Below are 20,919 nucleotides of genomic sequence, written 5' to 3'. Positions count from 1 at the left end.
GCGCTGTCAATAGACGGTGGAGGGGAGGGGCAGACAAGGAGGGTCTGAAGCCACTGCGACCACTGCGCCATCCAGGTTTGTGTTTATTCGATACAGGCCCAGAACCCAGCCCTCCTTCAGAGAAGTGGCCGAGCTGGGGGAACAGAATAAATAAAGGCCGCCGAGGTGTGATGGGGACTGGACGGGCCGGTCTGGGGCGAGGCAAGGGTGCCCAGGAGGCATTGACCCCAACCTCAGCTGTCCACGGCTGGCCCCACTCCCAGCAGGCTCCGGGGGCAGTGTGAGCGCCCACAAGGAGCAGGGCTCGGACTCCTGCCACCTCCAAGTCCTTTCTTTTCCTTCCTGCCCTCCCTCTCCTTCCTAAGGCAGGTCCAGAGACCAAGCTCTCCCTCTGGCCGGGGAGCCGGGAGGGGAGGGAGGGTGGAGGGGCCAGTGTCCAGGTCCCAGGCCATGACCCTGGTGCCTGTCCTGGGCAGGAGCCCAGGTTCGCTGTGCGAGGACAGAGGAGCAGGGAGGCAGGCGCCCCAAGCCAGCAGGCCTTTATGCGTCGCCCCCTTGCGCGGCGGCCCCGCCCCGCTCCCAGGCTCCGTCCTCCCACGCACCCTGCCCCCGGCACCACAGCCGCGGGGCACTCAGGAGTCACACCAGCTTCCACCCTTGTCCAAGGGCCCAGCAGCCCCTCGTGTATCCCTGGACGGCTCCCCAGCTGCCGTGTCTTCCTCCTCCTCCTCCTCCTCCCCATCTGTGAACTCCTCCTGGTTGAGGCCATAGGCCAATGTGGTGTGCGCCAGGTCTACCTCGATGGGGAAGACGTCGGCATCCCGCAGCACTGCGTAGCAGTCGTTGTAGTACTTGGACATGGTGGACACGAGGCGCTGCAGCTGGAACACGATGTCCTGGACTGGGGTGGGAGGTCGGGGGACAGGCTGCAGTGGGCTCTGGCTGCCTGCCTCAGGGAGGAGACTCTCCCAGCCCACCCGGCCCACCTCTCGCCTCCCCTGGGCTTCCCACTCGGGCACTTCCCTGACCCCTCATGACCTGGCAAGGGGCGGAGGCAGGGGCCGCCCAGCCCGGGGCCTCCCCGCTCCCAGTTCAGGGAACGCAGGAGGCTGCAGGGTAAATGGATCATGGATGGCAGCCCACGGAGCCCACGCGCACAGGCCAGCTCCACCCAGGCCAGGCTCTGGGCAGATGGCTGGGCTCCTGGAGGGGCTTTACATCTGGGCCGTGGCCTGGCCCTGAGAGTACCCCTCTGGGCCTCAGTTTTCCCACCTCTGAAATGGAGAGCGGACGGGGAGGAGGGCGGCGCTCACCGTGCTTCTGGTCCAGCAGCTCCATCTTCTCCAGCACATCCTTGCGCATCTGGGAGAAGCGGGCGCGCGCCTCCTGGCGGCAGCGCAGGATCAGGCGGTACTCATAGTTGCCGGTGCTCACCCGGTAAAGGGGCTCGCCTAGGGCCTGGGGCGGGGGTGGGACAGGAGTGCCTGCTCAGGGACGGCCTCGCACCGCACTGTGCTTTCAAAGCCACGGCTGTTCTTCATTCCTGAGACCTCATTTCTGAGACTTCAGTGTTTCTCAGAAGCACTCAGTGATAGCTTTGAAGAGAGGAAAAAACCAAACCCAAACCTCTGCCACATTCAATGAACACTGGCCACGAAATGGATCCCGACAGCAGAAAAATCAAACACTTAAAAGCGCCTCATAGGAGTGAAGAAAATCCGATTTCCCTCCAAGAGTCCCCCAGACTGAGGGAGTGGTTCCCGGCCGGGTGCCCAGCACCCCGAGGCCCAGCGAGCGGGACTGGGAAGATGGCCCTAAATCTCCAGGAACGAGAGTCCAGCCAAGTCCCCCCGGTCTCTCCCGGGTTGGCCTGAGCCACCTGCTATCCCTGGCAGACCAGGTGGGGGGAAGTACAAGCCCCCCACCCCCTCCAACACTCACAATGCAGCTGTATTCCTCGTCATCCATCTCCTTCACCTTCAGGCAGTACGACTGTGTGGGACAGGTGAGGCTGTCAGAGTGGCTACTACCCCCACCCCAGGTCCCCAGCTCCACCCCCATCACCCACACGCAGCAGGAGAGGCTGGCGCAGGTGTTCAGGGAGTCCCAGAGCGGGCAGCGGCAGGTGCTGAGGGATGACAGGGCCTGAGGCTTAGGCGGCCGAGTTGACCAAACTCAAGGCCCAAGAGATGCTCTGGGGAAAAAGGGGTCTGTCGTTAAAGGAGCTTAGGAAGACCCTTGAAAATTCACACTGCACATCAGCCTAGCAAAGGCTCTGATAAGTCCTGCAGCAAAGGAACCTTGGCTTGCTTAATAGAGCATTTTCTCTCAATTCCTTTGACTGTAGAATAATTAAATGTAAAACTCACGAACGTTCACTGACACCCATTTTATGCTCACTCACCTAGTCTAACCCATTGTTTAAAGGCAACAAATCCCAAGGGGTCAGAGTGCACACAGCGAGAGCCATGCCCGCCCCAGGCTCTCAGATGCTTCTTTGTGCAGGCGCAGCAGGGCTTTGGCTGCACCTCCCTGGGCCTCTGGGCCCACACCTGGAGCAGACATGCTGTCAGCTCTGGCTGGCCTCGCTGGCCGCAGCATGGCTGACTGAAGTGGGGCAGATCTCCAGGGTGGGCGCTTGCCCTAGCAGCCTGGGCACCTGGACTACTCACCAGGTACTCAAACTTCACGTCCAGGTACTTCTTGATGGTGAGGCGAGTGTCCGGGATGGCTTTGTTGAGGTACGTGTTCAGATCCGTCAGCATCTGGAAGAGGGTGGGTGGATGCTGAGGCTGTCACGGCAGGGGTGTGCCAGGGTGACAATGAATGGCACTGATGCGTCACCCTTGTTGGTGGACTCGACTATCAGAGCCAGATGGTGCTCCCTGATGCCTTGTCCCTCTCAAGGATGAGAAGACTAGTGCCAGGCCTAGGGCAAGCTGTGACTCAGTGGCGAGCCAGGGTCAGAAGCCAGCCCAGAGGTCAATGGCAAGGCCCAAGGGGGCACAGTGACTCACCCACAGTCCACTGTGTGGGTGACTGAGCCAGAGGCTGTACCCAGGCACAGGACTCCAGCATACGACCTTCTCTGCATGCCACACTCTCCCCTCCCCACCCTCACACGCCAGACACACACATGCTCAATAGGACCTACCGGCTTGATGGTTTTCAGAAGCCGAATGCCGAACTTCTCGATGCTGCGGTGGGCATCGGCGAACTTCACAAAAGCCTCGCTCGCAGCTGGCTGGGGCTCCCGCACCCCGATCACGGAGAACACGTCCCCAAAGGCTGCAGGACAAGTTTGCCTTGAAGGCTGCCCCTACTTGGCCCCCTAAGAGAAGCCAGGGGTTTGTTGGGGAGAAGCAGGGCAGGGGGCCTGGCAGGCTGGAAGCCAATGTCTGCACAGGGGCTACACCTCCAAGAGAGCTGGTCTAAACCCCCTGAAGGAGCTGAGTCTACACCTGGAGGAAACTGGATTGACACCTCCAAGAGCTGGTCTGTGCCCCCTAGAGTCCTGAGTGTACACACCAAGGGAGTTGGCCCTCATTCCCCAGAGGGACCAGTGAGAGAAGACTGGGTCAAGGTTTGTGGAGGTGGCGCCGCCTGAGGCAGAACACTGGTCCGAGTCTAGACACCTGGATTGGAACAACAGCTCCACCACTTGGGAGCAGTGTGGCCCTCTCCTTTGTCTGGGCTTCATTTTCTGCAGTAGCTGGGGTCAGCTGCAGTCGGCCTGCCCAGAGTTACAGGTTGTCAGAAATATAAATAAGCAAGGGCCTTGTGTACTGCCAGTGGCAGTGTGAGGAGACAGGGTGGGGCCTGTTCATCGTTGCGGCCCTTAAGAGACCAGCTGATCTAGATGTTCCCCGCAGGCCCATCGCAAATCCCAGCACCTGGGACCAGGCCCAGCCCAGAGGGAGCCTGAGGTCAGGCGCTGTGGGTCTGACCCACCTCAGCATGGGAGTGAGAGGCCCCAGGGATTGCCCACGGTCACACCACAGCTTTGGGGGATGCCATTACCCCGGTGAGTCTGCGACAGCTCATAAAAGGCCCGTAGGAGGTTCTTGGTGTGTTCCGTCATCCCTGTGGGAGAGACCGAGTGATGCGGAATGGGGACGCATGGCGGGGACCACACTGGCCCAGGGCAAGGCCTCCAATTGCCCATGCCACCCAAGGCCTCTGCTAGGCCCTGATACATGGCCTTTCCCCACCGCCCAACCACAGCCCAGGGGTAAAAGCTCAGTCCGACCCAACCCGTGAGGAGCCCCATCAGACAGGGGCGCCAGCATTTTGTAAGATGCAGGGGTACACAGCCTGCTGTGGGCTTTAGCCCTGGGACAGTGTGGGATTCCGGGGGACTCTCGCTATGTTTACAAGTGCTATTCTCTGAATTTTTATGAGTATCAGGTTTTGTTTTTTTTGAGATAGGGTCTTGCTCTATTGCCCAGACTAGAGTGCGGTGGTGTGATCTTGGCTCACTGCAACCTCTGCCTCCCTGGTTCAAGCGATTCTCATGCCTCAGCCTCTCGAGTACTGATTATAGGCACACACCATCATGCCTGGCTAATTTTTGTATTTTCAGTAGAGATGGCGTTTCACCATGTTGGCCGGGCTGGTCTCAAACTCCTGACCTTAAGTGATCCGCCCACCTCAGCCTCCCAAAGTGCTGGGATTACAGGCGTGAGCCACTGCACCAGGCCCCTGAGTTATTTTTAAATTCAGAAGAAGTATATATTCTTAAGAACTCTTAATGCCCATGGTCCTAGTATTTTGTAGGCTGGCATTCCTAGTGCCAGCACCCCTGTTGCCACTCTGCTGAGAGCATGCTCCCTGGGGTAGAGCTAGTGCCAGGACGAGGCCACCCCCCACCCACCTTTGTATAGCTCAGCGGTCCGCTCCAGCTCCTCTAGCCTCTTGACAAGCCCATCTGTCGGGATTCAAAGAAGAGGGGAGGTCAGTGGGCTCAGCAAGCCACAGGAGGCCCAGGGCCATGCTGGGGAGGGGAGAGGCAACCCCAGAGGAGAACCAGGAAGGGAAAGATCAGGGGTCCCAGGGAGGGGGATTTGGCAGCTCGGGTCAGCTGGGTTCAAAGGTGTTTTGTAAATGACTAGGCCCTCCTCATGGCCAGCGGAGGGTCCGTGCCTAGCAGGCAAAGCTCCCACACTTCTAACACAAAGCCTGCTGACAGCTGGGGAGGAAGGCTGGCAGGGGCCATAGGAATGGAGATGGAGCAGCCAGGCCTCTAGCGCAGGAAGGACATGGTCTCTGCCTCCCAAGCACACAGATGGCTCAGAAGGGAAAACGCAACTTGGGGAGGGAGGGGGAAATTCAGGAAGGCTGAGAGAGCTCACACTGGGAAGAGGCCTTGGTGATCAGTCATTGGCTTAGTGTTTCTTGAGCACCCACTGTGTGCCAGCCACCATGTCAGGCTCACTTTGAGCCAAGTCTTGCTCTCAAGGCTGAAAGCCCAGCAGAGAAGCCAGCCCAGTGGCCGGGCGATGGACAGCAGTGTGATGGTGAGGGCTGCAGGGGAGAGGTGGGGCAGTCAGGTGCTCTCTGCTCCCCAGCCTCCTGTGTTGACCTGGGTCAGGGTTTTTTAGCAGAAGAGGGGAGGAGCGGAGGCTGTGTTCAGGCCTCTCTGGGCAGGGAGGTGGCAGTGCGACAGGCTGTCGGGGAAGGAAGGGAGCAATTCAGAGGTCTTGGGGAGGCTTTGGCCACCCGGTGGCCTCCAGGCCTGGGTTCCCCAGAGCCTTAGCACCTGGCCAGCGGCAGGAAAGGAGCCATGTAAGCATCGTGTTGTTGTTTTTAGCTGGGTCATGGGACATCATGACAGCTTCAATTTTAGAAACCCTATTTAAGGCCAGGGAAATTGCAAGGTTTGGGGGGAAAAACACAACAACCAGTTCTAATTTCATCTCAACGGCTGGTAACTACAGTAACAGGGATTTATAGGCACGGCACCAGGAGGCTGAAAATAGCAGCCGCCACTTTTGTACACCATTTGGAACAAGCTCAGTCCCCACCCCCACTTCCTTAGCCAATAAAGCCCAGTGTGCCCAGCTGAGCCTACAATTTCTAGAAGTATTTATATCTACCCCACAGGCACACTGCAGAGCTGCTGCTATTTTTAAACTCGGACTGGCGACGGTAGGAGGGGGACTGAGTGTTTCGCTGGCCACCCCAGGGAGGGAAAGTGTGTGCGCATGTGTGCATGCGTGTGTAAATGTGCATGTACACGCCTCCCCCCTCGCCTGCGCAGCCACCACGAAGGGAGGACCTGCAGAGGCAAGGGCAGCAGCACCACCTCCTGGACAAAGGAGGCAGGAGGTGGGCCGCGAGAGTGCTGGGGTGAGGGGTAAGGGGCTGAGGGCAGGGGCAGAGGCACCTCCCCACACTAAGTCTATTTTCCCATCTGTGACCTGAGGGGCACTGGCTAAGACAGCCCAGCTGACAGCTGTGGACCCTCCGGGAGCTGGAGAGGCCTCTGGGGGTACAGAGATGGTGACTTCTCAGTTCCACGGGCAGAGGCCAGGGTCAGACCCGCGGGACCCACAGCAGCTTGGTGGGCAGCCATGGTGCCCCCCACTCTTCTCAGCCTGGGCTTGAGTCCCCGGGGCCCCAGCTGGGTGGGAAGGGACTCACCATTGCACAGGATGGCCCGGCTCAGGCCCAGAGCATCTGCGGTCCCTGAACTCATGTTCTCCACCAGCCGGTGCTTGACTTTCTTCAACACTGAGCGGGGGACAAAGGACCTGGTGAGTCTGTGGCTGCCCAGAGGCCATCCCTGCCCCCAGCCTTACCTCCATGCACAGGGAGCACCCCACAGGGGGCAGAAGGGCTGCTGGGGGTGGCTGTGAAGTGGGGAATGTCCAGTGGGGAGGTCCTAGGCCCCTGCCCTATTCCCTCTGCTTCACAGAGGTGCTGGCAGCCTGGGCAGTTAAACATGAAGCGCTTCGCCCAGGGCCTGCTACGCAACATCAGCTGCTGGTTGCTGAGAGCCCAGTGCTGCCCGGGCTCAGCACAGGCTAATGGAAGCCAAGGAGGCCTCTTCCCCTCCTCTGTGTCACATCAGGACCTAGGGTGTCACATAAAGGGGAGGGGGAGAAGAGGGGCCCCTGGGCTGGTTATGTGAAAGTAATGGGCACCATCAATGACCATGAAGCTCGGACCCCAGACTCAGTTACTGCATCTGACCAGCTTAGTCCTAGGAAGGGGACTTAGTCCTGTGTTGGAACCAGAGGGTTTCGGAGGGAGCTCCCAGATAGATCCAGCCTGCCCTTAGCCCCTTGGCCTCTGGCCCTAGGGTGTATGAAGGGGATTGCTGGGCTCCAGAGCTGAGACCTAGGTGTGCGCTCACCAGGGGCTGCAGCGCCCTCTCTGGGTCTCAGGCTTTGATCCATAATGTGAAGCGGCCGGTCCAGAGGACTCGAAGCTGCTGTCCAGCTCTTGAGTCTTAAAGTTTCTACAGAACCGAGGCTCAGCCCCTCTAACAGGAGGGAACTTGTCCCAGGGCGCAGACCCTCTGCCCAATGCCTGAGGTCCAGTTCAGATCCAGAGTCCCCCTGGGAGCTGATGGCAGGAGAGGCCAGGGAGGAGTGCGCTGTGCTAGAGGGCATGAGGCGCCAGGCCAGGGTTAGGCTGCTCTCCCTTTATGAAGAGTGAGGCCCTGGGCCATGGAAGCCGAGGCGCTGGCCTGCAAAGGACAACCCTAGGGTAGCAAGTCCCCAGAGGAGATGGCAGAAGCAGGGAGGTAGGGGTGAAACGCGGGGGAGTGAGAAACCAGGGACAGAGTACAAGAACAGATGCAGGGAGAGCACCGGGAGGCCTCCCAGGCCTTTCAGATTTGCTTGGTCAGAGGTCAGAGCCCACAGCCATGTAACTCTGGATTCTCCTGTCATAAAGGGGAGGGCAGGGCTGGCTGTGGCACTTCTCCTTTGGGCCAGGGCCCATCCAGGGAGGCTGCTGGACACCCGTAACTGCTCTGACCAGCTTACCAATGTCCAGGGACATGCCCTGCTTGGGGTCCGCCTGCAGCTTGTTGTAGTGGATGGTCACCTCCCCCTGGAAGAGCAGCACACACAGACTAGTGAGCGAGGCTCCACACCCTGAGCCCCTTCCCAGCCAAGACTGTTCTGGACTGAGACTCCTGAGCCCAAGGCCGGGTGCGGTGGCTCACACCTGTAATCCCAACAATTTGGGAGGCTGAGGCAGGCAGATCACTTGAGGTCAGGAGTTTGAGACCAGCTTGGGCAACATGGCAAAACCCCATCTCTATTAAAAATACAAAAATTAGCTGGGCGTAGTGGCGCGTGCCTGTAATCCCAGCTGCTCAGGAGGCTGAGGCAAAGAATCACTTGAACCTGGGAGGCGGAGGTTGCAGTGAGCTGAGATCACACCATTGCACTCCAGCCTGGATGACAGAATGAGATTCTGTCTCAAAAAAAAAAAAAAAAAAAAGAATCCTAAGCCCCAGTAAGGGCCAGGCTGAGCGCTGTGACATGGCCCCACCTTGTGACCCTGTCTGATCCCAGGCCCCTCCCTTCCTACTCTACATCCAAGCCCTGGGGAATCAGTGGGGACAGGGCCGGCACCGGGCCCACAGCCTGGCGGTCTCTGATGTCTTGTGCTTCGGCCAGGTCAGGCTCTCCTTCTTCCCTCCCCACGCAAACCACACTCCAAGCCTTTGCCGTGTCATTTCCCTACACTGATTATTCCCTCCTCCACCCCAAAACACCCCATCCCCAGGAATCCCTCTACTCATCGAACAGCACATCTGAGCACTTGCTCTGTGCCTGGTGCTGGGGCACCAAGGGGAGGGGCAGGGGCAGCCCCAGCCCCGCAAGGCTGATGCGAATCAGGGAATTACACAAACCACTTTCTAACGACTGCTCAGGAGACAAAGGCTTCTCCCAAGAGGACTTGCCTGAGCACGGGAGGGCGCTGTGTTCACTCTCATCCTTGCAAACCAAAAGCCCTTGAACTTGGGACCACATTCATCCAAATATAAAACAGGATTTTAAAATCAAGTCCCAAAGGGAAACCAAAATGAGCAGATGCAATCAGAGTCAGAGGTGGGGTGTGAACTGCTCCCGCAGAATGAAACACAGGCGTGCTCAGGGGCCACCCCACAGGGAGCAGCTGTAGGCCAACGGCAAGCGGGCTGCAGTGGGAGTCGGGCCCGGGCTCCAGTTCAGCTGTGTGACCACAAGCAGGTCACTCCCCGCCTGTGGACACCTGTAAGATGGGAGAGTAATCCCTGCCCAGCACCCAAACAGGGGAGCTGGGCCAATGCTGCATCCCTGTCATGGCTGTGTGCAAATACAAAGAGCTCTTGTCCTCATGGGCAACCTGAGGTGCTGGTATGACCAAGCCTGAGAGGACAGGGAGGGACCTGGCGAGTGGAGATGGGGAGGAGATGCGGAGGGGGGAAGGGCTGCCAAATGGGGCACACACAACCCAACTCGGCCAGAACGAGACCCCCTGCACCTGTTCCCATGATCAGCTCCTCTGCCTAACAGGTCATACCTGAGGCAGTGATACCCAGACCACGTGGAGTGGCAGCTGTGGGGTCTCAATGAACCTTGCTGCTTCCTTTTTTTACAACAGAGCTCTGAGCCCCAGCCCCAGGCCCTGATTTGTCCTATGGCTAAAGGGGCTGGAATAGGAGAATGTGCAGGATGGGACTCTTCCTACAGCAAGGAAGGAGAGAAGCACGGACTACTCAGGAGCAGGACAGGAGGATAAAGGGGAGAGAGGATGGAGCAGCGGCTGGCCTGGGTTAAGGCAGGAAGGCGGACTATCAGGAGTGCCAGAACCCGGAGGATGGAAGTGGGGCTGAGGGAGGTAGCTGCCACCCTTGGCCAAGCTGAACTCACAGTGGGGACCCTTGCCCCCGAGACTTTCAAATCACCCCATGGCTGTGCACTGCCTGCACATCAGTTCTTTCACAGTATTGGTTTCCTGAGACTAGCTAGCAGCCACTTCGCTAGGAAATGGCAAAGGGGCTGCATGCTCGCTTCAGGAGAGGCCGGGATGCCGCCTGCCATTCCAGTCCTGGAGCGGCAGGGGTGGGGGAAAGCGGGGCAGGCAGTGTGTGACTCTGGTCTGTAGAGCAGAAGATCAGCTGGCCTGGGAGGGGGGTCTCTGGGTGTCTATGAGCCCAGGAGGCTGTGTGGGACCGAAAGTTCCTACAGGATGGGGAAAGGGCACTCTTCTTTCCCTCCTAGCCCTCACAGGCCCAGCGTGACCCGGCTGACATTATTGGGTGTCTACTGACCCAGGGAGGATCACCTTGGACTTTTAGCTTCAGCTCTGGCACTGACTGGGGACACATGGGCTTGCCTGAGGGGTGGTTCCAAGTCTGTCAGCTCCCTGGGAGCTCATGGGGACCTTGTGGTCTTGCTGCCCACTCTCTTGCCAAGGTTCAGCACAAGTCCTGGAGCACGATTAGTATTTATTGAATGAATGAGGGATGGATGAGGGAGGCTGGAGTGTGACCCTGACCCTGCACATGACAAGGAAGGGGGCGGTGAGGGCTGATACCCCCTTCCAGGCCTGCTGGGACCTCTGGCAGCCTGGAGGTCTCAGAAACATGTGTTGCTGCCTCTGGACACCTGCTCTGCAGCAGCCCTTACCTTCACCTCCTGAATCATCTTCGCCACCTCCACCTTAGTTTTCCCTTTGATTGACCTGCCATTGACACCGGTGATCTCATCGCCAGCTGCCACTGTGCCGTCCAAGGCTGCTGGGGTGTTGTCAAATACCTGTGGGTGCATAAGGAGAGTGGTGGGGGAAGAAAGGGAGGGCTAAGATGGAACCTGGGAAGACACCTGACCACTGCCTGGCTCTGTCTTCCACTCTACCCTCTGCTCTCGTTTTTTGAGAAAGCGTCTCACCACCCGGGCTGGAGTGCAGTGGCGTGATCACAGCTCACTGTGGCACTGAACTCCTGGGCTCCAGCAATTCTCCTGCCTCAAATACATAGTCAAATGATTTCTTTTTTTTGAGTCGGCGTTTCGCTCTTGTTGCCCAGGCTGGAGTGCAATAGCGCCATCTCGCTCACCGCAACCTCCGCCTCCCGGGTTCAAGCAATTCTCCTGCCTCAGCCTCCCGAGTAGCTGGGGTTACAGGCATGCGCTACCACGCCCGGCTAATTTCGTATCTTTAGTAGAGACAGGGTTTCTCCATGTTGGTCAGGCTGGTCTCAAACTCCCGACCTCAGGTGATCCACCTGCTTTGGCCTCCCAAAGTGCTGGGATTACAGGTGTGAGCCACCGTGCCCGGCGGCATCAAATGATTTTTGACAAGGGTGTCAAGAACATTCAATGGGGAAGGACAGTCATTTCAACAATGGTATGTGAAAAATGAAGTTGACACTACTTAACACCACATACAAAAATTAACTCAAGGCCAGGCGCAGTGGCTCACACCTGTAATTCCAACACTCTGGGAGGCCAAGGCAGGCAGATCACCTGAGGTCAGGAATTCGAGAGTAACCTGGCCAACATGGCGAAACCCCATCTCTACTAAAAATACAAAAATTAGCTGGGCATGGTGGCAGGCGCCTGCAGTCCCAGCTACTCAGAAGGCTGAGGCAGGAGAATCGCTTGAACCTGGGAAGTGGAGGTTGTAGTAAGCCGAGATCATGTCACTGCACTCCAGCCTGAGCAACAGAACGAGACTCTGTCTCGAAGATAATAATAATAATAATAATTAACTCAAAATTGTTCAAAGACCTAAATGTAAAAGTTAAAACTATAAAACTCAGAAAAATGCCTAGTCCAAAACCTTCACGACATTGGAGTTTACAGTAATTTCTTGGATGTGACACCTAAGATCCAAGTAACAAAAAATAAACAAATTGAACTTCATAAAAATTTTAAAACTGGTGCATCAAAATACACCATCCAGTCTGGGCAATGTGGCAAAACCTTGTCTCTACAAAAAACACGAAAATTAGCTGGGCATGGTGGTGTACGCCTGTAGTCCCAGCTACTTGGGAGGCTGAGGTGGGAGGATCGCTTGAGCCTGGGAAACAGAGGCTGCAGTGAGCTGAGATCCCGTCACTGTACTCCAGCTTGGGCAACAGAGTGAGACACTGTCTCGAAAAAAAAAAAAAAAAAGAACAGAGAAGAGAAGAAAAGAAAGGCAACCCACAGAATGGGAGAAAATATTTGCAAATCACATTTTTGATAAGGGATTAATATCCAGAATATATGCAGAATTCCTAAAACTCTTTTTTCTTTTTTTCCTCTTAGCCGATTGTGCTTTGTAGAGAATTCTTAAAACTCAACAACAAAAACCAAACAACCTAATTCAAAAATAGACCAAGGGCTGGGCACGGTGGTGCGCACCTGTAATCCCAGCATTTTGGGAAACCGAGGTGGGAAGATCGCCTGGGCAATATGGCAAAACTCTGTCTCTACAAAAAAAATACAAAAATGAGCCAGGCATGGTGGCGCGTGCCTGTAGTCCCAGCTACTCGGGGGTCTGAGGTGGGAGGATCGCTTGAGCCCAGGAGGTTGAGGCTGCAGTGAGCCATGATCGCACCCCTGCACTCCAGCCTGGGCGACAGAGCAAGATCCTGTCTCAAAAAAAAAAAAAGTTAAGATGGTAAATTTTACCACAATAAAAAAATAGAAAAAAGCAGAACAGAGAATACAGAAAGCAGGATGTCATCATCGAGATACATGACAAGAAGGACATGGTGTTCCCGATGACGCCCTCTGAGGATCTGGCACAATAAACAAAAGCCTGTGCCTGCAGCTACCATCACGACTCCTCCCAACACCAGGGACAAAAACAAAGTCCTCAAAGTTCTCACAGATCAGAAATAAAACACATCACAAATAAAGGATCACCAATAAGAATGGCAATAGCCATGTGACAGCAAAGGACAATGTGACAAGGCCATCACACTTCCACACAGGAATTACTGTCAACCTTGACGTTCATTCTTGAATCGAATGAGCCAAAATGTCAACTGAAAGGAATATGGGAACCACAATGACCAAAAAAGACAGACCCGAGGTCTCAAAAAATTGACATCCCACGTGCCCTTTCTCAGAAAGCTACAGGAGGATATTCTCCACGGGAGATCAGGGAGTAAACCAGGAAAGGGACCCCCAAGATGGGGGAATCCAAAGAGAAGGGGCAGGGGCAGGGGGAGGGCACAAGGGGGAGAGACTACAGGGCGGAAAACAGACTGAAGAAAATGGGGCCGGGCATGGTGGCTCACGCCTGTAATCCCAGCACTTTGGGAGGTCGAGGCAGGTGGATCACTTGAAGTCAGGAGTTCGAGACCAGCCTGACCAACATGGTGAAACCCCGTCTCTACTAAAAATACAAGAATTAGCCAGGCGTGGTGGCACGTGCCTGTAATCCCAGCTACTTCGGAGGCTGAGGCAGGGGAATCACTTGAACCCGGGGGCTGGAGGTTGCAGTGAGCCAAGATCACGCCATTGCACTCCAGCCTGGCAACAGAGCAAGACTTAATTTAAAAAAAAAAAAAAAAAGATGGGAAATTGTGGAAAACATACTGAGAAAACAAGGAGAGTGCAAATGAAAAAAACAAAACAGGAAATTACCCCCACCCTCTCAAAACACAAGAACAGGCTGAATTAAGAAAAGAAACATAGATTCCTCAGAAAGTTAAACATAGAGTTGTTTTGACTAGAATGAGGGCTCCGCAAGAGTAGGATCTTTGCTTTCTTATTCTTTTATCCCTAGTGCCTACAACAGAGCCTAGGAGGCATCTGGAAAAGATTTCCCGAACAAAATCTCCGTTGTACTAATATTAATTTAGCCAAAAATAGAAAAATAACTATGTTGGAAAGGTGGGATGAGAGGAAACAGACTGGTCATGGGAAGAACTAAATTCTCATCTACCAGACGAGGCAAAGTCAATAGATATTTACAGGTGATAGATCAAGAAACAACAGGATAGGCTGAGCACGGTGGCTCACGCCTGTAATCCCAGCACTTTGGGAGGCTGAGGCGGGTGGATCACTTGAACCCAAGAGTTTGAGACAAGCCTGGGCAACATGGCAAAACACCGTCTCTACAAAAAATACACAAAAATTAGCCAGGTTTGGTGGCACGTGCCTGTAATCCCAGCTACTTGGAGGCTCAAGTGGGAGAATCATCTGAGTCTGGGGAAATCAAGGCTGCAGTGACCCATGCTTGCACCACTGCACTCCAGCCTGGGCGACAGAGTGAGACTATTGAGAAAAATGGAAGCCCATGCATGAAGAGACAGAGAAAGCCGGGTGAGGTGCCCAGGGGAAGGGCAGTGGATTGCTATTATTTGATACAGGGCTTTTAATGCTCTTGACTTGGTAGAGGCAAGTCATATGGCACTTTGATAAAAACAAAATTGAATTTAAAAAAATCAATTCTATGATGATGATGATTATTATTATTTTTGAGACGGAGTCTCACTCAACTGCCCAGGCTGGAGTGCAATGGCACGATCTCGGCTTACTGCAACCACCATCTCCCGGGTTCAAGCGATTCTCCTGTCTCAGCCTCCCAAGTAGCTGGGATTACAGGAACCCGCCATCATGCCTGGCTAATTTTTGTATTTTAGTAGAGACAGGGTTTCACCATGTTGGCCAAGCTTGTCTGGAAGTTTTCACCTCAGGTGATCTGCCCACCTCAGCCTCCCAAAGTGCTGGGATTACAGGTGTGAGCCACCGCACCCGGCCAGTTCTATTATTTTATTGGCTGGTGGTTCATGCCTGTAATCCTAGCACTTTGGGAGGCTGAGGTGGGTGGATCGCTTGAGGCCAGGAGTTCGAGACCAGGCCGGCCAACATAGCTAAAACCTCTCTCTCCTACAAATACGAAAATTAGCTGGGCATGATGGCGCACACCTGTAATACCAGCTACTCGGGAGGCTGAGGCATGAGAATCGTTTGAATCCAGGAGGCAGAGGTTGCAGTGAGCTGAGATCACGCCACTGCACTCCAGCCTGGGCAACACAGTGAGACTCTGTCTCAAAAAAAAAAAAAAATCAATTATACTATTTTATGATGTCTGTTCATTCTAAGCAAACTTGCACCTGAGGTAGGTAGAGGGAGGTGGCGAGAGGCTGAGCAGACACACGGCCAGGAGGCCAGGCCTGGGGGAGGTCTTGCTAATGCCTCCTGGGTCACAGGAGGCCGAATGGCTCATGAAGGAGGCAGCACTGTGAGCAGAAGCAAGACCAGGTCGATCCTGGGAATCTGTCTTCGAGGCCTACAAGCGACTCCTGAGCAAGATCCTCACAGAGGCCAGTTTCCCATCTGCCACCAGTGAGAGGGTTAGAACAGGTATTCCCAAGGCTACAGCAAGGTCACTGACTTGGATGAGCCACACAGTGAAGGAGGCCCCACAGCAGGCCTGTCACCACTCCTGAGTTACAGTGGACAGAATATCACCAGTGCAGCTTCCTCTGCAAGAGACACAAGAGTGTTCCTCACCACTGGCAGAGCATCTGGGAAAATGTACAGCTACCTGGAAAATAGCAGCAGCTACTGCTTAATGCATGGTTCTTTCTTTTTTTTGAAACAGGGTCTCACTCGGTCACCCAGGCTGGAATGCACGGAATGCAGTGGCGTGATCTCAGCTCACTGCAACCTCTACTTTCCAGGTTCAAGCGATTCTCCTACTTCAGCCTCCCAAGTAGCTGGAAGTACAGGCGTGCACCACCACGCCCAGCTAATTTTTGTATTTTAGTAGAGACGGGGTTTCACCATGTTGGCCAGGCTGGTCTCGAACTCCTGACCTCGTGATCCACCCACCTCGGCCTCCCAAAGTGCTGGGATTACAGGTGTGAGCCACTATGCCTGGCCAATGCACGTTTCTTAACTTCTAGTGTGTTAGGTCGTTTTGTTGACTTCTCACAAGAACCCAGAGATGATTGTGTCTACATGTTTTAAATCCCCGCTTTCTAGGTGATGAAACTGAGGCCCAAAGAGGTTAAGTAACTTGCTAGTAAGTAGGAAAGAAGCTTGCATTTGAACTCAGGCCATTATTTCATCGTGTTCCTATGACACTTCATTTTGGCTAGTACGCAAGGCTGATGGTTTTGTTGATTCAATAGTCAATTTCTATTGCATGTCCACTATGTGCCAGGCACTGTACCTGGTGCTTACTGCAGTGAAAAAGCAAACCAGGACACTGCCCTCAGTGCAAAGAGTCTACTCTACTAGACAGAGGGCAAATAACAAGTAATAAGTGCCGAGAAGGAAAAAAACAGAGCGACACAGGGGAGAAGACAGGGCAGAGCAACGCAGCGCAGGTGGTCAGAAAGCCCCTCTGAGAGGGTCAGACCTCAAGAATGAGAAGGAGTCAGCTATGCAGTGTGGAGAAATGAACCTGCCTTTGTCATGCCCAAGTAGGGATGTACCTTGTGCCCCCCTCCAAAGCGCCCAATACCTGGACGATATAGAGGCAGGGACAGTACTGGGCCCCTCCTCCAATGCTGATCCCGATCAGGTTCTGAGCATCCTTCTGCAGGGTCACCTTCCCAGGCACAGTCGGGATTCCGCTAGAAAGGAAAGCAAGCTAGGCTGACTCTCCTGGCAGAAGGATGACTGGAGCGGGTGGGCCCTCTAAAACTCCTGAGGGGCTCCACTGGCTGCCCAGCTTTTTCTCTCCCTCCCTTGGACAAAACAACATTTTGTGCTGGAACATGCACAGCTCTTGGAGTTAAGCAGATGTGGGATCAAACCCCAGCTCTGCCATTTATCAGCTGTGGAACTTGGTTTTTTTTTGAGATGGAGTCTTACTCTTGTTGCCCAGGCTAGAGTGCAATGGCGCAATCTCGGCTCACTGCAACCTCCGCCTCCCGGGTTCAAGTGATTCTCCTGCCTCAGTCGCCCAAGTAGCTGGGACTACAGGTGCCTGCCACCACGCCTGGCTGATTTTTTTGTATTTTTAGTAGAGACGGGGTTTCACCATGTTGGCCAGGCTGGTCTTGAACTCCTGACCTCAGTTGATCCGCCTGCCTCAGCCTCCCAAAGTGCTGGGATTACAGGCGTGAGCCACCGTGCCTGGCCAGCTATGGGACTTGGGTAAGTCAGCCTCTGTGCATCTCAATTTCCTCATCCATAAAATGTGGATGAGCACCCTTATCAGAGTTCTTCTAACCATGCATGGAGGGCACTAACAGCAACCCAGTCCATAGCAGGCACTCCATAAAAATAGGTCCCCCTTCCCTTTCATTTATTCGATCTCTGAGATTTGAGCCAGGTTCTGTCCTTGTCACCTTATCAGGCATCTATGTAGTATGATGGCCACCTACTCCAGGGAGTCTTCCTCTATTAAACTGTCCACCTCCCACCTCTCAACTGCTCGATTACCTCTCGGTTTCCACTATAAATTAGCATTGACTGGTGTTTTATGATAAGTACTCACGCTGATTCACTTATTCATTCAAAAAACATTCGCTAACAACCTACTGACGTCAAGTCCCTTACTAAGTGCTGAGCATAGAGAAAGGCATTGCACCCACTCCTTGATCTGAAAGAGGATATATTCTAATGGGAAAATCTGTCCTACTAACAACCTATGTTGGGAAGGAAGGGTGTCTACAATATTCCTATTCAACCTTCAAAACCTGGTTCAATTGCTACGTCCTCCATGAAGCTTTCCTTGACCATCCCAGCAGAAGCACTGCTCCATCTGCTTTGCTCTTCTTGTCACCAAGTCATGCTAATAGTGCCCTTATGGCACTGAGCTGTGATTATCCCTTTAACTGTCCACAGCCCCCTACAAATAGTGAGCTCCTGGGAGAGCAGGGTCCATTGCTGCTTCAGTACAACAACTGATCCACCGCTGAGAAGCAAGGGTCTGTGGGACTGGGAAGTCCAGGGAAATGAGGAACTTGGGGCTCCTATACTGCTGGAACTTGGGGGAATAAAATACTCACAGTTTATCCTCTTCGATGTCATAATCCAAGTCTGCAAACATGGTTCCGAGAGTTGGAGTGGGCTGGCTAACTGCCCAGCTCGGTAGGGGAATGGGGAACTGGATCCGGGAGAGAAAGGAGCATAGGATTTAAGGAACCCAAGTGCCTAAATGCCAACGCCACCCCTCCCTCCACCACCTCATACGGGACAGCAGTGCCCTCCTCTTCCCTCTGGAGTGGGATGGGACAGTCTCCGGGTGGGGGGCTGGGTAGGTGATTCTTACTAGGTACAAAGGGGGGCTCCAGGCCAGGGCGATAGGCTCAGATCCCAGAGTCCGCCCCACGGGTCTCCAGGCCCTGGGGAGCTGCCTCTGTCGCTCACCGGAAGCGTTGGTCCCACAGCCGGGTCCCGGCCAGGCTGGTACCTGAACCCACCTGCCGTTCCACCTGGCGGTGGCCGCGATTGTCACGTCACTTCCGGCAAGACGCGGAAGTCCCGGCTTTCCCCCCACTGGATATTTGCTCCAATCCCTGCAGACAATCCTTCCCTTCCCGGCTCCCGGGACGCTCGGAACCAAGAACGAGAACAAGTATTGGCGGAAGCTCGCTGTTAGTAGGAACAAGCGAAAACAGAGGAACGGTCTGGACAGGCTGACAGCGTCTAACCCCGCCCTTTGCCCTGCCGCCGCCGCCATCTTGGGAAGGGCAGGGTTTGTCCCAGCTTCCTCAGCTGCACTCAGGGGCCCGCGCCGGCCCGGCGGTTGCCATGGCAACGAAAGCATCCCTGAGCCGGGGTTACCTCCGGCGAGGCTCAGTGGACTATAAACCCCAAGACATCATGCCCTTTCACCCCTTCACCACCTGGGCCTGTGACTCCCCTACTAGAATGGCCCTTTGAGGTCCCAGCCCATCCCAGTTTCGCCAACTTAAGTGCCAAAGAGCGGGGAGTGATTTTGTGCGGGGCCACACACAGTTGGTGTAAGATCTGGATCGTGGCCCTGAAACTCCCGCCGCCTAGTCTAGGGATCTTTGAACGTCCAAACACTAAACAGAGAGCCAGGAGAGGTGTATTCAGTGGGTCTTGCTATTAAGGACAGACTGGACATGCTCCCTTCCCTTTATGTGCCTCAGTTTCCCCATATGTAAACCAAGGCCATTGAGGTAAATGCTTTCTATGGTATATGGTGAAAGGTTTCTCACACCCCCTCCTCCTTCCTTAGTCCTGAGGAGCAGCCCCCCTGGGGTCCCAGGGAGGGTCACGGTCCGCATGTACCTGAGGCTCGGGAAATGCTATCAGTGCTCCCCAGAGTCCGAATCTTGTCTCCTCGCCAGCCTCTGCTGCCACTGCTATTGTGTAAAGTGGGTTCCCTGGGGGAGGTTGGCTCTCCCAGAGCCACAGCCAGGCATCCACCTCATCCGGCAGCATGGGGCCAGGCCCATCCAGCTTGCTTCCCCAGCTGCCCCAGGAGCCATGGAAGAAAGATACAGAAGGATGATTATCCACATATCCCACGGCCGGTGGAAGCCCCGCCCTACTCTCTCCTTAGGTGGCTAATTGAGTCCGGACAGATGTGCAGAATGCCGTGACAATAACAGCCTTCCCACGTGTCCACTGCTCTCCTGTGAGATCACTTTCACAGGATTTGAAAGCTCACCACCACCCTGTGAGAGAAGACCAAATCTTGCCAGCCACATTGTGCAGGCAAGGAAACGGAGGCCCTGGGAAGCCTCTTCCTCTGGTATCATAGCGGCAGGGCTGGGGCTGGGAAAACCAAGCTCTGTTTCCAGGCCAGAATTTTGGTTTCAAAAAGCAGCAGTCTAAGGCCAGGTGCGGTGGCGCACACCTGTAATTCCAGCTATTTGGGAGCCTGAGGCAGGAGAATCGCTTGAAAATAGGAGAGGGAGGTTGTAGTGAGCCGAGATCAGGCCATTGCACTCCAGCCTGGGCGACAGAGAGAGACTCCGTTTCAAAAAAAAAAAAGGCAGCAGTCTCCAAACCCAGGTGCCTTAACATGGATTGTGGCTCTTCCAGCCCATGACCATGCTAGCTCAGGCCCAGGCTCTGCCATTTTGTAGCTGGGAGATCTTGGGTGAGTCGCTGTCTCACTCTGAGCCTCAGGTACGTGTAGAATGGGGAAATGACACCTGCCACCAGGTATTTGTGAAAGTCAAGATTAAAAGGAGAGGCTGGGCGCGGTGGCTCACGCCTGTAATCCCAGCACTTTGGGAGGCTGAGGAGTGTGGATCATGAGATCAGGAGTTGGTATAAGATCTAGATCATATATCTGGACCAGCCTGGCCAACATGGTGAAACCCCGTCTCTACTAAAAATGCAAAAATTAGCCAGGCATGGTGGTATGCACCTGTAATCCCAGCTACTCAGGAGACTGAGGCAGGAGAATCGCTTGGACCCGGGTGGCGGAGATTGCAGTGAACCGAGATCGCGCCATTGCATGCCAGCCTGGGTGACAGAGCCAGACTCCATCTCAGAAACAAAAGATTAAAAGGAGAAACAGGTGTGAGTGCTTTGTAAACAATTTGCATGGCACAGCTGTCACTCTGACCTCAAAACCCCCTACCCACTCTGGCCCTTCTTCTCAGGTTGGGGAAGATGCCCCTGTTTTCTGCCTTGTTCATCCCTTGCCTGCAGGCTCCGCTCTAATTCACCTCTTCCCGGCAGCCTTAGCAGACAATCTCAGCTCATATATCTTGCTCCCTTTTCTGAGCTGAGCTCCTGAGCAGTTGCTATTTGAATCATTTGTTCAGCAATTTGCTGTGTATTTGCCTTGTGAAATCTCTTCATGGTTTTCCTGAGCCAATTCTGCAGTGATTAATTTATTACATGCTTGTATTTTGTCTGGCAAGGTTTTTATCCCCTTTAAATTTGGGGCTTACAGCTCATAGCTACGCCTGGCTAATTTTTGCAATTTTTTTCTTTTCTTTTCTTTTCTTTCTTTCTTTTTTTTTTTCTTTGAGATGGAGTCTCCCTCTTGTCGCCCAGGCTGGAGTTAAGTGGTGCGATCTCA

General features: G+C 54.5%; 1 protein-coding gene across 9 annotated transcripts, besides 4 other annotated features; it reads right to left on the bottom strand.

Annotated features, from left to right (window-relative positions):
- Nucleotides 1–63: 63 nt before the first annotated feature.
- On the bottom strand, nt 64–18,510 carry PICK1 (protein interacting with PRKCA 1). Of its 9 annotated transcripts, none has more exons than NM_001039583.1 (13): nt 18,276–18,510; nt 17,915–18,012; nt 16,420–16,531; nt 10,635–10,763; nt 7,995–8,061; nt 6,643–6,732; nt 4,874–4,927; nt 4,021–4,083; nt 3,155–3,288; nt 2,673–2,765; nt 1,942–1,992; nt 1,314–1,458; nt 64–901 (listed from the first exon to the last, which is right to left on the bottom strand). In NM_001039583.1, the coding sequence occupies exons 2-13, from the start codon at nt 17,953–17,955 to the stop codon at nt 633–635; spliced, it is 1,248 nt and encodes a 415-aa protein (NP_001034672.1). In that variant the 5' UTR covers nt 17,956–18,012; nt 18,276–18,510; the 3' UTR covers nt 64–632. The 9 variants fall into 9 exon arrangements, with proteins under 9 accessions (NP_001034672.1, NP_001034673.1, NP_036539.1 ...); NM_001039584.1 differs by having other exon boundaries at nt 18,329–18,510; NM_012407.4 differs by having other exon boundaries at nt 18,178–18,361.
- Nucleotides 304–805: an enhancer, noted in NCBI's record as "H3K4me1 hESC enhancer chr22:38470967-38471468 (GRCh37/hg19 assembly coordinates)". NCBI's record gives its function as "activates a minimal SCP1, AML or CMV promoter by ChIP-STARR-seq in naive H9 embryonic stem cells {active_cell/tissue: H9 hESC(naive)}" and the evidence as "EXISTENCE:reporter gene assay evidence [ECO:0000049][PMID:30033119]".
- Nucleotides 17,660–18,283: an enhancer, noted in NCBI's record as "H3K27ac hESC enhancer chr22:38453489-38454112 (GRCh37/hg19 assembly coordinates)". NCBI's record gives its function as "activates a minimal SCP1, AML or CMV promoter by ChIP-STARR-seq in primed H9 embryonic stem cells {active_cell/tissue: H9 hESC(primed)}" and the evidence as "EXISTENCE:reporter gene assay evidence [ECO:0000049][PMID:30033119]".
- Nucleotides 18,284–18,909: an enhancer, noted in NCBI's record as "H3K27ac hESC enhancer chr22:38452863-38453488 (GRCh37/hg19 assembly coordinates)". NCBI's record gives its function as "activates a minimal SCP1, AML or CMV promoter by ChIP-STARR-seq in naive H9 embryonic stem cells {active_cell/tissue: H9 hESC(naive)}" and the evidence as "EXISTENCE:reporter gene assay evidence [ECO:0000049][PMID:30033119]".
- Nucleotides 18,528–18,587: an enhancer, noted in NCBI's record as "active region_18991". NCBI's record gives its function as "activates an Ori minimal core promoter by ATAC-STARR-seq in GM12878 lymphoblastoid cells {active_cell/tissue: GM12878}" and the evidence as "EXISTENCE:reporter gene assay evidence [ECO:0000049][PMID:35858748]".

Source organism: Homo sapiens, chromosome 22 (assembly GCF_000001405.40).
Source record: "Homo sapiens chromosome 22, GRCh38.p14 Primary Assembly".
Classification (NCBI taxonomy): Eukaryota; Metazoa; Chordata; class Mammalia; order Primates; family Hominidae; genus Homo; species Homo sapiens.
The sequence above is the reverse complement of the archived record's forward strand: the minus strand, read 5'-3'. Positions and strand labels throughout refer to the sequence as shown.